Source organism: Homo sapiens, chromosome 2 (genome assembly GCF_000001405.40).
Source record: "Homo sapiens chromosome 2, GRCh38.p14 Primary Assembly".
Classification (NCBI taxonomy): domain Eukaryota; kingdom Metazoa; phylum Chordata; class Mammalia; order Primates; family Hominidae; genus Homo; species Homo sapiens.
The window spans coordinates 46798447-46811608 of record NC_000002.12 but is presented as its reverse complement, the minus strand read 5'-3'; the positions used below and the strand labels follow the sequence as shown (position 1 = coordinate 46811608).

Genomic DNA, 13162 nt, shown 5'->3' with positions numbered 1-13162 from the left:
CATCCTGGGTCCATCGCTGTGCCTGGCGCTGCAGAGCCTCCCCAGCAAAGGTGGGCTCAGAACTTGCCCACTGCACAACTCCAGGAACACTATTTACCTAAAACACAAAGAGAACAGGTGCCCTGGAGCTGTGCAAGGAGGTGGCACACCCTGTGTGGCTGACAAATCCCAGCAGCATAATAGGACAGGGACATAATGGGGCACTCAAAACATAGAATCTGTTGTCCCATTCACTAAATCATTAAATATGCTGTACTCTCTGTTTATACCACACTAGCACTTTTATAACACCACTGTATTCCCCATGGGAGGCTTAAAAAATCCCTTCGCTAGTTCTGAAAATAAAATCCCCTATTTAACAAAGACCTGCAACCATTAAGATGTCTATCCATCCATCTACCTGTCCATCCAGTCATCTGGAGTCCATCCTTTCAGTGACCTTTTAATTGAGGATCTACAGTGTCAGGCACTCTGCTTTAGTACAAGCATGAAAACGTCCCATTTCTTGCCCCCAGGGGGCTCATCCTCTGCTGGGGAAACACACTTAAGTAGTTTATTATATAGCATTATAAGTGAAGTCATGGATAAATAAATTTACCATATTTAGCATTCTGAGTGGAATAATAATTCTATTAGCAATTGTTATCTGGGAAAAACAAGACAAAGCAAGACAAATCATGTGTGTGGAGTGACCACTACAGGTCATCTGTGATTTGAGTCCCCTATCCTTCAGCAGCAGGTGGCCTGCTCTCTCTAACTCTCAACTGTGCCCTGATCTCTTGCTTGGCTGGTGTGCCCTGAGTTCAGAACTGGCAGGTAAAATTTTATTTCCTCTTTTTATTTAAAAAATAAAATCATTTAAAATGCATATAACATATGCATAGTTTAAAGCAGAACTCTAAAGCAAATATTAGCTGCGCATGGTGGCTCACACCTGTAATCCCAGTACTTTGGGAGGCCAAGGCAGCAGGATTACTTGAGCCCAGTGGTTCACAACCAGCCTGGGCAACATAGCAAGATCCCATCTCTACAAAACATAAAAAAATTAGTCGGGCATGGTGGCACATGCCAGTGGTACCAGCTACTTGGGAGGTTGAGACTGGAGGATCACCTGAGCCCAGGAGCTGGATGCTGCAGTGAACCATGATCATGCCACTGCACTCCAGCCTAGGCAACAGAGTGAAACCCTGTCTCTAAAATAAATAAATAAATAAGTAAATAAATAAATAAATAAAGCAAATATTTTTGTAACCACCCGTGAGATAAATAAATAGACTAGAACATCACTAGTACCTGTGAAGTTCCCCACCAGCAACACCCCAGGTCCTTCCTCAGTCAAATCTCCCTTCCTTCTCCTAGAGGTAACACTATCCTGACTTTTCTGTTAATCAGAAAAAGTCTGATTGAACCTTGCTTTCCTTTATGGTTTTACCATTTATGTATGCACCCTAAACAGTACTACAGTGAATGACAAATGCCATTTGTAAGAGAAAAATGCTGAATATCTGCAAATTCATACAGCTTCATATAGTTTAACCTACTCGTCTATTTTTAAACTTGGAAATAAATGTACTGTATGCATTCTTTGATGATTTGCTTCATTTGGTGGACATAGCTATAGTTTCATTGTATATATTTTCACTGCTGAGATTTCATATAGCATACAAGCTCACAGTTAATGCATTTTATGGCTGATGGACATTTGAGTTGTTCTCAGTGTTTGGTCCTTACTGATGTTGTTGTTGTAAAGCTTTCTTGTCTCCTGGTGCGCACATGCATGGGTTGCCCTAAGATATTTATCTAGGAATAAAATTGCTGGATGACATGGTCTTCAACATGACTAGATCAAGTCCAGTTGCTTTCCACATTGGCTGTACCAATTTATACTCCCAGAGGCATCTGCATCCTTGTCATCTCTTGGTATTACAGACTTAATTTTTCCAATCTGGGGGGTACAAAATGGTATCTTATTGTGGTTTACATTTTATCTCCCAGATTATTAATGAAGTTGAGCTTTTTGTTTGTTTCTTCACCATTTGGATTTCCACTTTTCAGACTTGTCTGTTCAAGTCTGTTACCTTTAAAAAATTGGTTTTTTTCCCCTTGATTTTTAGTTCTTTCTGTGTTCTGGATATTAGTCCTTCATTGCTTATATGTGTAGTTCCAGTTTGTGGTTTGTTTTCATCTCTTTATAGTCCCTCCTTGATCTCTCTCTCTCTCAAAAATAATTTATGATAAAATTCCAAACATATACAAAAGTAGATAGAATAATATGATGAATCTCCTTGTACCTATCACTCAGCTTCAACAATTATAATTTCATGGACAATCTCGTTTCACTTATACCTTTTCAACTTCTGCTCCTCTAGCTTTATTCAGGTGATCCACTCACCTCAGCCTCCCAAAGTGCTGAGATTACAGGCTTGAGCCACCACACCTAGCTACTTCTTTACTTTTATATCTCATTCAAGAACTCTTGTTCTGAGAGCACAAAGGTATGTGCTTCTCTCTCTTTTTTTAAAAGGTTTGTAGTTTTACGTTTCACATTTAGCTCTTTATTCCAAATTAAAGAGATTTTAGTATGTGGTGTGAAATAGAGATTCAATTTTTTTCCCCCTATAGCTCTTTTTTTCCCTCCCCGGAATAATTTCTTAAAAAGTCTTTTCCCCACTCCCCTGTAATCTGCAGTCAGTCATATTGATCAAGTATCCATATATGTGTGGGTCTGCTCATGGCTCTCTCTTCTGTTTTATTGATCTATTTCTCTATGCCTGTGCTAATGTCACACTTTCTTAATTACTATGCCTTTATAATAAGTCATGATATCTGGCAGGGCAATTCCATCACCTTCTTTTTCTTATAATTATTGCATTTTCATATGAGTTTTATAATAAGCTTACCAAATTCTACATGCAAAAATGTGTTGGGATTTTGATTGTGATGCATTGAATCTACATATAAATTTGGAGAAAATGGCATATTTACAATATAGACTCATTCATCCATAAATATAGTAAGTCTCTGCATTTATTAATGCATTCTTTAATGTCTCCCAATAAAATTTAATATTTTATACAAAATTAGCATACATTTTGTTAGACTTATTCATAAATACTTCATTTGTGTTGCAAGTATAAATGATCACTTTAAAATTTTTTATTTTCTCAATGTTTACTGTTCACATATTGAAATAAACTCAAGTTTATTTGCATGTTAACTTTATACCCAGCAATTGTGCTAAACTCTTTTACTTGGTCTAATAACTTGGATTTTCTATTTACACAATAATGTTGTCTCTACATATTTAACATTTTGTCTCTTTTTCCCCAAACTTAAGCCTTAACTTGCTTGCTTGCTTGCTTTCTCACTCTCTCTTTCTTTCTCCCTCCCTCCCTCCCCCCTTCCTTCTTTCCTTCCTTCCTTCCCTCCTCCCTTCTTCTTTTCTCCTCCTCCTTCTTCTCCCAATAATATTGTCTATACATATTTAAAGTTTTTTCTCTTTTTTTCCCAAACTTAAGACTTAATTTTTTTCTTTCTTTCCTCCTCCTCCTCTTTCTTCTTCTTTTGAGGCAGTCATTCTATTGCTCAGGCTGGAGTGCAGTGGCACAATTGTGGCTCAGTGCAGCCTTGATCGCCCAGGCTCAAATGATCCTCCCACCTCAGCCTCCCGAGTAGCTGATACAACAGGTGTGTGACACCACACCTGCCTACTTTTTTTTTTTTCAGACAGAGCCTCTATGCGTTGCCCAGGCTGATCTCAAACTCCTAGGCTCAAGTGATCCTCCTGCCTTAACCTCCCAAAGTGCTGGGATTATAAGCATGAGCCACTGTACCCAGCCTTCTCTTTCTTTCTCTCTTTCTTTTCCTTCCTTCCTTCCTTCCCTCCCTCCCTCCCTCTCTTCTTTCTTTCTTTCTTTCTTTCTTTCTTTCTTTCTTTCTTTCTTTCTTTCTTCTTTTTCTTTCTTTCTTCCTTTTTTTGAGACGGAGTCTCACTCTGTTGCTCAGGCTGGAGTGCAGTGACATGGTCTTTGCTCACTGAAACCTCCGTCTCCTGGATTCAAGTGATTCTTCTGCCTCAGCCCACTTAGTAGTTGGGATTACAGGTGCGTGCCACCACAGCTGGCTAATTTTTGTATTTTTAGTAGTGATAGGGTCTCATCATGTTGGCCAGGCTGGTCTTGAACTCCTGACCTCAGGTGATCCACCCACCTTGGCCTCCCAAAGTGCTGGGATTACAGGTGTGAGCCACCATGACTGGTCCTTTTCTTTCTTTATTGAAATGGGTAGGATTTCTCGTACAATATTAATAGAAGTAGTGATAGTAACCATGCATTTTTTTCTCCACCTCAAAGTCTCGTTCGACGAGATGATCTCTTTCCAATGCAAAGATCTTGATTTTCCTCACAATCATCTTCTTTCTGGCTCAAGCAACTACCCACAGCCTTCTAGAGTGAGACTAAGAATCATAATTTATATCCAGACTTTACATTCTTGAGACAAGGTCTGGCACTACTGCCCAGGCTGGAGTGCACTGGCACAATCTAAGCTCACTGCAACCTCCACCTCCTCGGCTCAAGGCTTCCACCCACCTCAGCCTCCCGAGTAGTAACTACAGGCGCAGACCACCATGCCTGGCTAATTTTTGTATTTTTCATAGAGACAGGGTTTCACCATGTTGTCCAGGTTGGTCTTGAACTCATGAGTTCAAGCGATCTTCCCATCTCAGCCTCCCAAAGTGCTGGGATTATGGGCATGAACCACCCAGCTATATCCAGACTGTTGATAGTTGCATATCTCTAGCCTGAATGTAGAAGATCCTGGAGTCTGATCTCTTCTCCAATATTTTGTATTTGTTGAGTCATTTCCTCTCAAAACTCCCAAGCCATTTCTGCTTCATAGTTTGAATCATAACTAATAGTCAAAAAAAAAATTGTGATGGTTGAGAGGTTGGCTGTGCCCATATCCCTTTTTGAAGCTCTCTCTGCCCTTCTTCAGGGTGAGAGAGATGGACTGTGCCTTTGTTCCCACATCCTAGCACTGGCTGAAAGAAGCGACATGTGCTATGCTACGCCATTGTCTCTGGGGTGTCTAAGTTGCATCCAGATGTAAGAACACCAGATACAGCACAACTAGACTCACCAAGATCAGGCCCTTTCACCAGGGAAGTGCCTAATGTTCTGGCCTACTTTTATTGAGGGTTGATAGAACAAACAGCTATTGGAAGAAGGTTTGCCAAATAAATATTTGAGATGGTGTTCATCGTGTTGTTCGATGTTCCCTACATAAGGATTCATATAATATATTGTGTTGGAATTAAGTGTCAGTATAGTTAGTCTCTCCTGTTGAACTAACATATGTCTGCAATGGGATTAATACTTTCTGGAATTGTCTTTAGATACATTTTCATGTCCTGTAAACCTTGTTGTTCTGGAGTTTCTTGTACATTGGGGTAATGTCTGAGTCTCAGACAGAAAGCTAGATGTCGAGAGAGTCAAGGTTTACTAAATTCCTTTGACCCTCTTTTAGCACATCAAGAGGTAGGCCTGACTGACTACATTTTAGAAGATGATGAAGGAAAGTTTATCTCTCTATCCTCATAGACTATGGGAAGGGGAAGGGGGATAGGGAGAGAACAGGTAGATCAGGCACCAGAGCTCTTCTCTGCCACTACCATTATTACCTTCCCCACCTTCCCCACCAGTGTGTCAGGGCACAACCTAGAAAGTTGGGAGCTTTTAAACACATGCTTTTAAAGCATGTCTGAAGGCCGCAGGGAGCGTCTGGGCTGGAGGCACCCTTCTCCAGGTACGCTGGGTCCAGGAGAAGCACCCACATGAAGGCCTGGAGGTAGCGCAGGAAGTAGGAGGTAGGGGAGCCTGAGACAGCACCTGAGCAGGTGTTGAGAGTGCCAGCAGAAAGGCAGAGGCCTGGTGACAGGACTGAGTGACCACTAGGAAAGCTGGCAGGGACCATGGGCTCCAGCGACAGCTCCTGGCACAGCGCCCCAGAAAGCAAGATGGGGCCATCCCATCATAGCAGTCATGAGCTCAAGGAGCAGGCTGTGAAGATCCAGGCAATGCCACGGGAACCCAGGGGCCTCCCTCCTGGGCTGTGCAAGACTCTGATAGGAATCACCTGCCACACGGGGATTCAGCAGCCAGAGAGAGCAGTCTCCAAAAGGCTGACATTTACGTGAGTGAGCCAAGTTATCTATGAAAGACAATTTTGATTACTAAATCAAGCTTGAAATTTACCAAATTGGATACAATTTAGGATTTTACCCGCCTGCTTCCCAGTGAAACTGATAAGAAGACATTCATTATAAAGAAAATTTTAGCCAGGTGTAGTGGCATGTAAGCTACTCGGGAGGCAGAGGCAGGCAGATCACTTGAGCCCAGGAGTTTTAGTCCAACCTGGGCAACACATCAAGAACCCATCGCTAAAAAAAAAAAAAAAGAAAGAAAATTGTAAAAGTTACACTTTTTCCCCACAATTGCATTGTAGTGTGAGTAAATGTTTCCCCACTGCACATCCTTTTTATGAAACTAAGATTTATCTCATTGTGGCCTCTTTTCAGCTGCAGAGCTGACTCGCATGTTACATTCAGTGACAACAAATGTTCTTGCACAAGTGTGGAAGGGGCACAAGAGTTGGAGTTTGGCTGGCCTGGGTTTGTGGCCTGGGCTGGATTGTGACTTTTGTAGACTCCAGGCACTTTTATAGTTGTGGACTCCCTCCTCCATTAAAAAATTAAATATATGTTACTATTGTGTTGGCATAAAGACGAATCTATTAATATCATATATTAAAACATTTTTTCAACCTCAATGTTCTCTTCTCTTCTTCTGATTTTAAAAGAAATTTTAAAACATTTTAGTGGGCCCCTAAGAGTATCCTGGGCCCTGCGCCTATTGGAGAAGTCAGCCCTGCTTGCACCTTTGCCTGCCCTGGACATGCCTCTTTGCTTGTCTTCCTCATCTGTAAAATGGGGTTGCTGGACTAAATGATGGAGTGCATTCAAGGACACGGCACCTGGGGTAAATAAATGTGGGTTTCCTTTCTTCATCTCCATGGACTTGATTTTCTATTTCTATTTTCGTGATCTTGCGGCATATGTGGTTTTCATTGTGAGTCACCTTCAAAATTCTCTTTGGAAGTAGGTGGGGTATAAATTATAAATAAAAATTCCTTTTTACTTCCTCAGCACTTAGCACAATGCCGAGCTTTATATTCCCAATCCTTGTTTGTTGACTGTGCCGGTAAATGGCTCTCTCCCGGCCAACCTCCGCCCACCACCCTGTCCCACCCCGGCCTGACTGCTCTTGGAGGAGGCATCCTTTCTGTCTTTCTTTGGCCTCTTCTCTCTCCCTCAGAATTCTTCTTTCCTTAGTGGCCTGTGCTCAGCTGGCTGTCAGAGTGAGGAAGGTGCCCACTAAATGTCACACGGTGAGCTGGGTAATATTGCCACAGCCCCACGAGGCAGGGTGTGTGCCCTGCTCCACCCCGGAGGATGCTGTGGCTCAGCGAGGAATTGGCTCCACACGTGGTGGGACTGGGATTTGAACCCAGGCCTGTCTGGCCAGGCAGTGGCATGGTGTGTTAAGCCTCCATGGTTTGCAGTTTCCAGCAATCTGAGGGGATTTCTTGGCACTGTTCAAATCAAACCCTACTGGAAAACGTGGAGGTCCCTCGAGGTGTGTGTTCAGCTTTGTCACCGTCCCTCAGGCCCCACCATTCACCCAGCTGGAAGTTTGTGCTGAAACTCTCTTCCTAAATATTAGAGGGGAGCAGTGCCACAAGCAAGCGGGGAGGAACCGGGAGCCACACAGCTCATGCTGGAGATTCAGTGGTATGTCCATCAAGAGGGTGGCTACCAAACACATTTCCTTTATTGGCCGGACTTTAGAGTGCTCAGCTCCAGGACTTTAAAACGGCACCAGAGTGTTCAATGAGCTTGTATATGTGAGGCACTTACAACAGCGCCTGGCATACGTGTTGGCTGGAGCCGAACCGAATGCACCGAATCATTCAGCGCACATTGAGCACCTACTGGGCTGCGTGCTGGGAAGATACACATGAATAAAACATCTTCCCACTTATTCAAGAGAAGGCAAAATAAAAATTGCCCCGCGATGGGATAGAATCTGCAATTAAAAAGAAGAGCATGTGCAAGTTTATTTATGTCCTATTACACAAGCTCCTCCATTCTCCACCCCCACCCCCACCCTCTCAATCTGTCGCATTCAGGGATCTGGGGCTCTGAGCATTTGCTTGAATTAAACAGATTCAATGGCATGTCAGGGTTGGGAGGAGAAATGGAGAAGGTGGAAGAATGAGATGGAGCGATTAGTTAAAAAGAGAGATGTTGGTAGTCAATGCACAGATGCCTCCTCCTGGAGAGGAGAGGAGGTCAGACAGACCTGGAATGTTCCCTTGGGAACAATCATATTATTAATAACTGTGATAACGATGCGTGCTACTGAGTGCTCCCAGTGCCAGGCGCTGCTCTAAGCCTTCACACAGATGAGCGTATTTAATTCTCCCAATCCCCTAAGGAGGCAGCTTCTATCATAAACCCCATATTAGAGCCCAGAGGCTCAGCAGGGGGCAGTGACTTGACCAAGGGCACCACCGCCAAGAGGCAGCCTCCTGCCTGGAGGCTGCACTTGTCCTGTGGCCTTCACACAGGTGCCTGTGACATTGTGAGACAGGTGAGGTCAGGGTGCGGTATACAATACCACTGCAGACTAGTTGGAGTTTAGAGCAGAAAGCAGGAGGTCGGACTGGTGGAGTTTGAATCCTGGCCCACCATGACCAACTCTGTGACCTCGGCCAATGTCTTTCTATGTCTCTGTTTTCTTATAAGTGAAATGAAGATTGAGGATGGTGATGACGACACCACCTCCTGGAGTGGTTGTAAGGCTTTAACACAACTGTGCACACATAGGGTTTAGCAGGGCCTGCCCAGACGAGCAGGATACATGGCAGGCATCCCTGAGCTCATGATTTGTCCCTAGGAGAGCTCGCCCTGCCATCATCCAGGCAGATGAGCTCAGGCTTCCAGGCTTCTGCACTCACAGATGAGGGGGCGAGCTCAGGACAGGCAGTGGGAACCACAGGGGGAGAAATGCTAATGAGAAGTGACCCCACCCATGGAGCCTGTCCCCAAACTGATGAGCATGTTGGGAAATGTGCCCAAGTGTGGCAGGAAATGCCTGTGGAAATGCCTTGGACAGGGGCAGCCGATGACTGGCCACGGGGACACTGGAGGACATCGCCTGGCCTCTGCCTCCAAGCAGGGCACCGTCTGGCTGGGGACAGAAGCCTCTTCACACGAACCAATGAGTGGCCCAGGCGGGGTCTTCCCAAGGGTCACCTGCAGCGTGTGGTTCTGGCCATCGGAAAGAAGAGTGACCAGTGAGCCGTGGGCTGGGAGCCTGTATGGGCAGAAGGCCAAGGGGCTGTAGGAGGTGGCATGTGTGTGGGATGCTGTGACTCAGCCACTCACCCCAAGGACTAGCTTCAGGTCTGCTTGCCCCACCTTCACTTTTGACCAGGCATTTCTGATTTTCTCTCCTTTTCCTCTTTTTGATGAGGGACAGCTCTGTTGTCATAAGTGAGGCACAGCCAAGGCCAAGGTCTTCCTTTCCAGAGCTGTTCTGGGCTGGGCCGACTCTGCTATTTGAATGTACAGGGCTCATTCTACAGTATGCCAATAAATGTGCCCATGAAAAAGAAGACCTTTAGAGATGTGCTCATGCAGATGATTCTATCCCACCTGTCACAGAGGGAGGCACAGCAACCATCTGCTAGATTCTCTATTCCCACCCCACCCCTTACATTTTTAACCACATATTTTCACAGTTTGCCTTACTTATTTAAATCTGTTATTTAGAAAGACACATGTATTGCTAAGTAAAGAAACGGCAGCTTTTGCCCATTGAAGCCCGTTCTTCCCATATTCTGTAGCTGGCTGGGGTCCGCTGAGAGACCCTTATATGTGCAAGCCTGGGTGTCCTTTAACCAGGCTGGATTTAGGACTGAATCCACTCCGGATTATCGAGTGCTCTGTACTAGAAGGGGAGGAGAGCTGACACTTAATGTGACTTATCTTTCAGAGTAACAGTGAGACCCCAATCTCTTGGTCTCTACTGTAGTGGATGTGGATCCCTCCTTTAACCCGGAGACAATACTGTATGTCCAAATGCTATGCTCTTGAAGTCATGCTGCATGGCCAGACCATTGAGTCAGTTATTTGGCACCTACTGTATGCCACACATTGTGTGCCAGGCACTGGCAATGCCTTGGGACGAGATGAAGTCCCCACCCTCATGGAACTGACACTTTTGTGGGGAGAGAAGAGCTAGAAAGCCCAACACGGACAAATTGTGTTAAGTGCCCTGAAAGGAACAAACTGTGATAGAGAATGGAGAACAGCAAAGAGGACCGGGGGAAGGAGGGCCCACAGAAGAGTGATGTGGAAGCCAGGCCCTAGCCGGGGAGAGGCAGGAAGAACTCAACACGTGCAGAGGGAAGGCGAGGCGAGTGCAGTCCGGGAGGAGAGAGACCTTCACATTACCTGGGAAGCAGGAGAAGAATCTGGCCCTGAGCCTCCTCTCTACCTCCTACCTGCAAGCCCCGGGGTCCCCCTGGCCTTCTCTGTCTTTGCAGCTCCTTAGAGTGGGAAGGACCAGGCCTTGTGCCTCTGCCCATGGCCAACAGAGCTCCCTAGAGAGCCTGGGCTGCCCGCTCACCCAGTAGTTCCGGGCCATGCCAGAGCCTGCACCTGGCCAGAGGCCCAAGGAGTTCTGACACCTCCCCCAGCCCACACGACTCCCGCCCCACCACACCCCACTCGAGTAACAGAGCTTGCAGCGTCACAGCCACTGCTGCCATCTCTTTGGGCCTCTGGTCACCTCCACACAGCCTCATCACCCTGATCATTGCTGCTGCAGCTACAAGGCACCACTCACTGCCCTGCCACGCCTTCAGCCTTCAGCACGCTGTCAGGAATATGCTACTGCCTATTCCCCTTCTTTCTGGTGACATCTGGTGACTTCTTTGATATCTCTTCAAATGCTGCTCCCTTCTATACCCCTCTCCCACACTTTCCTGCCTCCTTCCCCTCTGTTCCTGGCACTTCACTATAAGGCTTACTTACCCTGCTGTTAGCTATTTGAGTCTCTCCCCGGCTTCCCAAGGGCAAGGTCTGAATCACTTTTATACTTGCAGTCCCAGGAGCTGATGCAGAGAGTAAATCATCAATACAGCTTTGTTGAATAAATTCTTCGTGTGCCACTTAGAATAATAATCTCCTTCATGTATTCAGCATTTAACAAGCTCATCCAAAACTTTGTGCCATTGTATGCTTGCAACACCGTAAGACTAGGTGCTGACCTGCTGCACAGGTAGGGAAATGTGGAGAAAGGTTACATGATTTATGTTAGATCGCACACAAATTGGTGGCAGGGCTGGGTCATGGTCTTAATATCCTTACTCTTAGTTCACTGCTCTTCATTAACTTCAGAGCACTCAAGCCTGGAGTTAGAGAAAAAACACATTTCTCAGTAATACATCTTAAGATATAAGCTGAGGACATACCTGTTTTAACACAAACTTTAAAAAAAAAACTACACTATATTTGATCTTAGACTTCCCAAGCCAAATAAATACATTAATTAAAAGTACACTATAAGATATGAGGTAAGCCTTTATTGAGCACTTATTATATACTTTTATATATGGAACTCAGTATTCTGGGAGACACAAAAGAATTACAAGACTCTCTTACATAGTACTCACAATTATTCAGGGAAAACGACCCAGGGACAAACACAGCAAATGGAGATAATGTATGGGTGGGTAAATGCAGAAGCTCTTGGAGCAGAGTTGTTCCTGAGGGGCCCATGGAGAAGGCTCTGGGAAGTCATTCCCATCCATGGGACAAGAGGAGTGATAGCAGAGAGGAGACGTGGGGATGAGGAGTAGGGGTGGGAAGGTGCACAGGACAAGGGGGCGGCCCAGGGGCGGGCCAGAGGGAGGGGCTTTATAGGAACACTCGTGAGAGTGCTCCTCTGAGGATCAGAGAGGACCTAGATGTGCTTTTCAGGGATGTCTCATCACAAGTAAAGCATGACTCTTTCTCAGTTGCCAGAAACAGTTTTGAGAATAACAAACTCAATCTCTGGCATCAGAAAGGGTGCCTCATCCCCAGGGATTCTAAGAGGGTAGGATTTGTCTTTCCAACTCAGCTCAGCTTAACTCAGCTCAGCTCAGCTCAACTCAGCTCAATTCGGCTCAGCTCAGCTCAACTCAGCTCAATTCGGCTCAGTTCAACTCAGCTCAATTTGGCTCAGCTCAGCTCAACTCAGCTCAATTCGGCTCAGTTCAACTCAGCTCAATTTGGCTCAGCTCAGCTCATTTCAGCTTGGCTTAGCTCAACTCAACTCAGCTCGGCTCAGCTCAGCTCAGCTCAAATCAGCTTAGCTCAGCTCAGCTCAACTCAGCTTGGCTCAGCTCAGCTCAACTCAGCTCAGCTCAGCTGAACTCAACTCATCTCAGCTCAGCTCAGCTGAACTCAACTCATCTTCACTCAGCTTGGCTCAACTCAGCTCAACCCAGCTCAGCTCAACTCAGCTCAGCTTGGTTCAACTAAGCTCTACTCAACTCATTTTAGCTCAGTTCAGCTCAGTTTAACCCGGCTCTTCATATTACCTGTCAGTCATGGACCATCACTTCCTATCCCCAACTGCCACAGACAAAGCTAGTGAAGTAAGACACATGAACAGAGGTTCCTATCTCCTCTCTGTCCAAACCGCAATCATGACATCCACTCCCCATTACCTCCATCTTCTCCCATTGCAGGTGCTCATAACAACGTCCAAGGACCCAGCTTTGTTAGTGAATATGGAATTTGCGGGATGGTTGGCAAAGGCTCCAGCCCTGATGGAAAGCCCTGGAGGAAACTCGGCTCAGCTGAGAGTGTGATGACTCTCCTCCCATTGCAAACTGAGACCATAGTGAAATGGACAGAAGGAGAGAAGGGGTTGTTGTAGGCTGATGGCCTTGCCTGCCTGGCCCCAACTGACCTGGCCATTGAAGTTGTGCTGGAACCCAGGCAAGTGTCCAATGTGTCCCTAGGTGAACTAAGGTTGTAAGGAGG

At 45.5% G+C, this 13162-nt stretch overlaps 2 annotated features.

Moving 5' to 3' along the window:
* Positions 8125 to 8419: a silencer, noted in NCBI's record as "tiled region #15480; HepG2 Repressive non-DNase unmatched - State 13:Ctcf". NCBI's record gives its function as "weakly represses a minimal TATA promoter and a strong SV40 promoter by Sharpr-MPRA in HepG2 cells {active_cell/tissue: HepG2}" and the evidence as "EXISTENCE:reporter gene assay evidence [ECO:0000049][PMID:27701403]".
* Positions 8125 to 8419: an enhancer, noted in NCBI's record as "tiled region #15480; K562 Activating non-DNase unmatched - State 13:Ctcf". NCBI's record gives its function as "activates a minimal TATA promoter and a strong SV40 promoter by Sharpr-MPRA in K562 cells {active_cell/tissue: K562}" and the evidence as "EXISTENCE:reporter gene assay evidence [ECO:0000049][PMID:27701403]".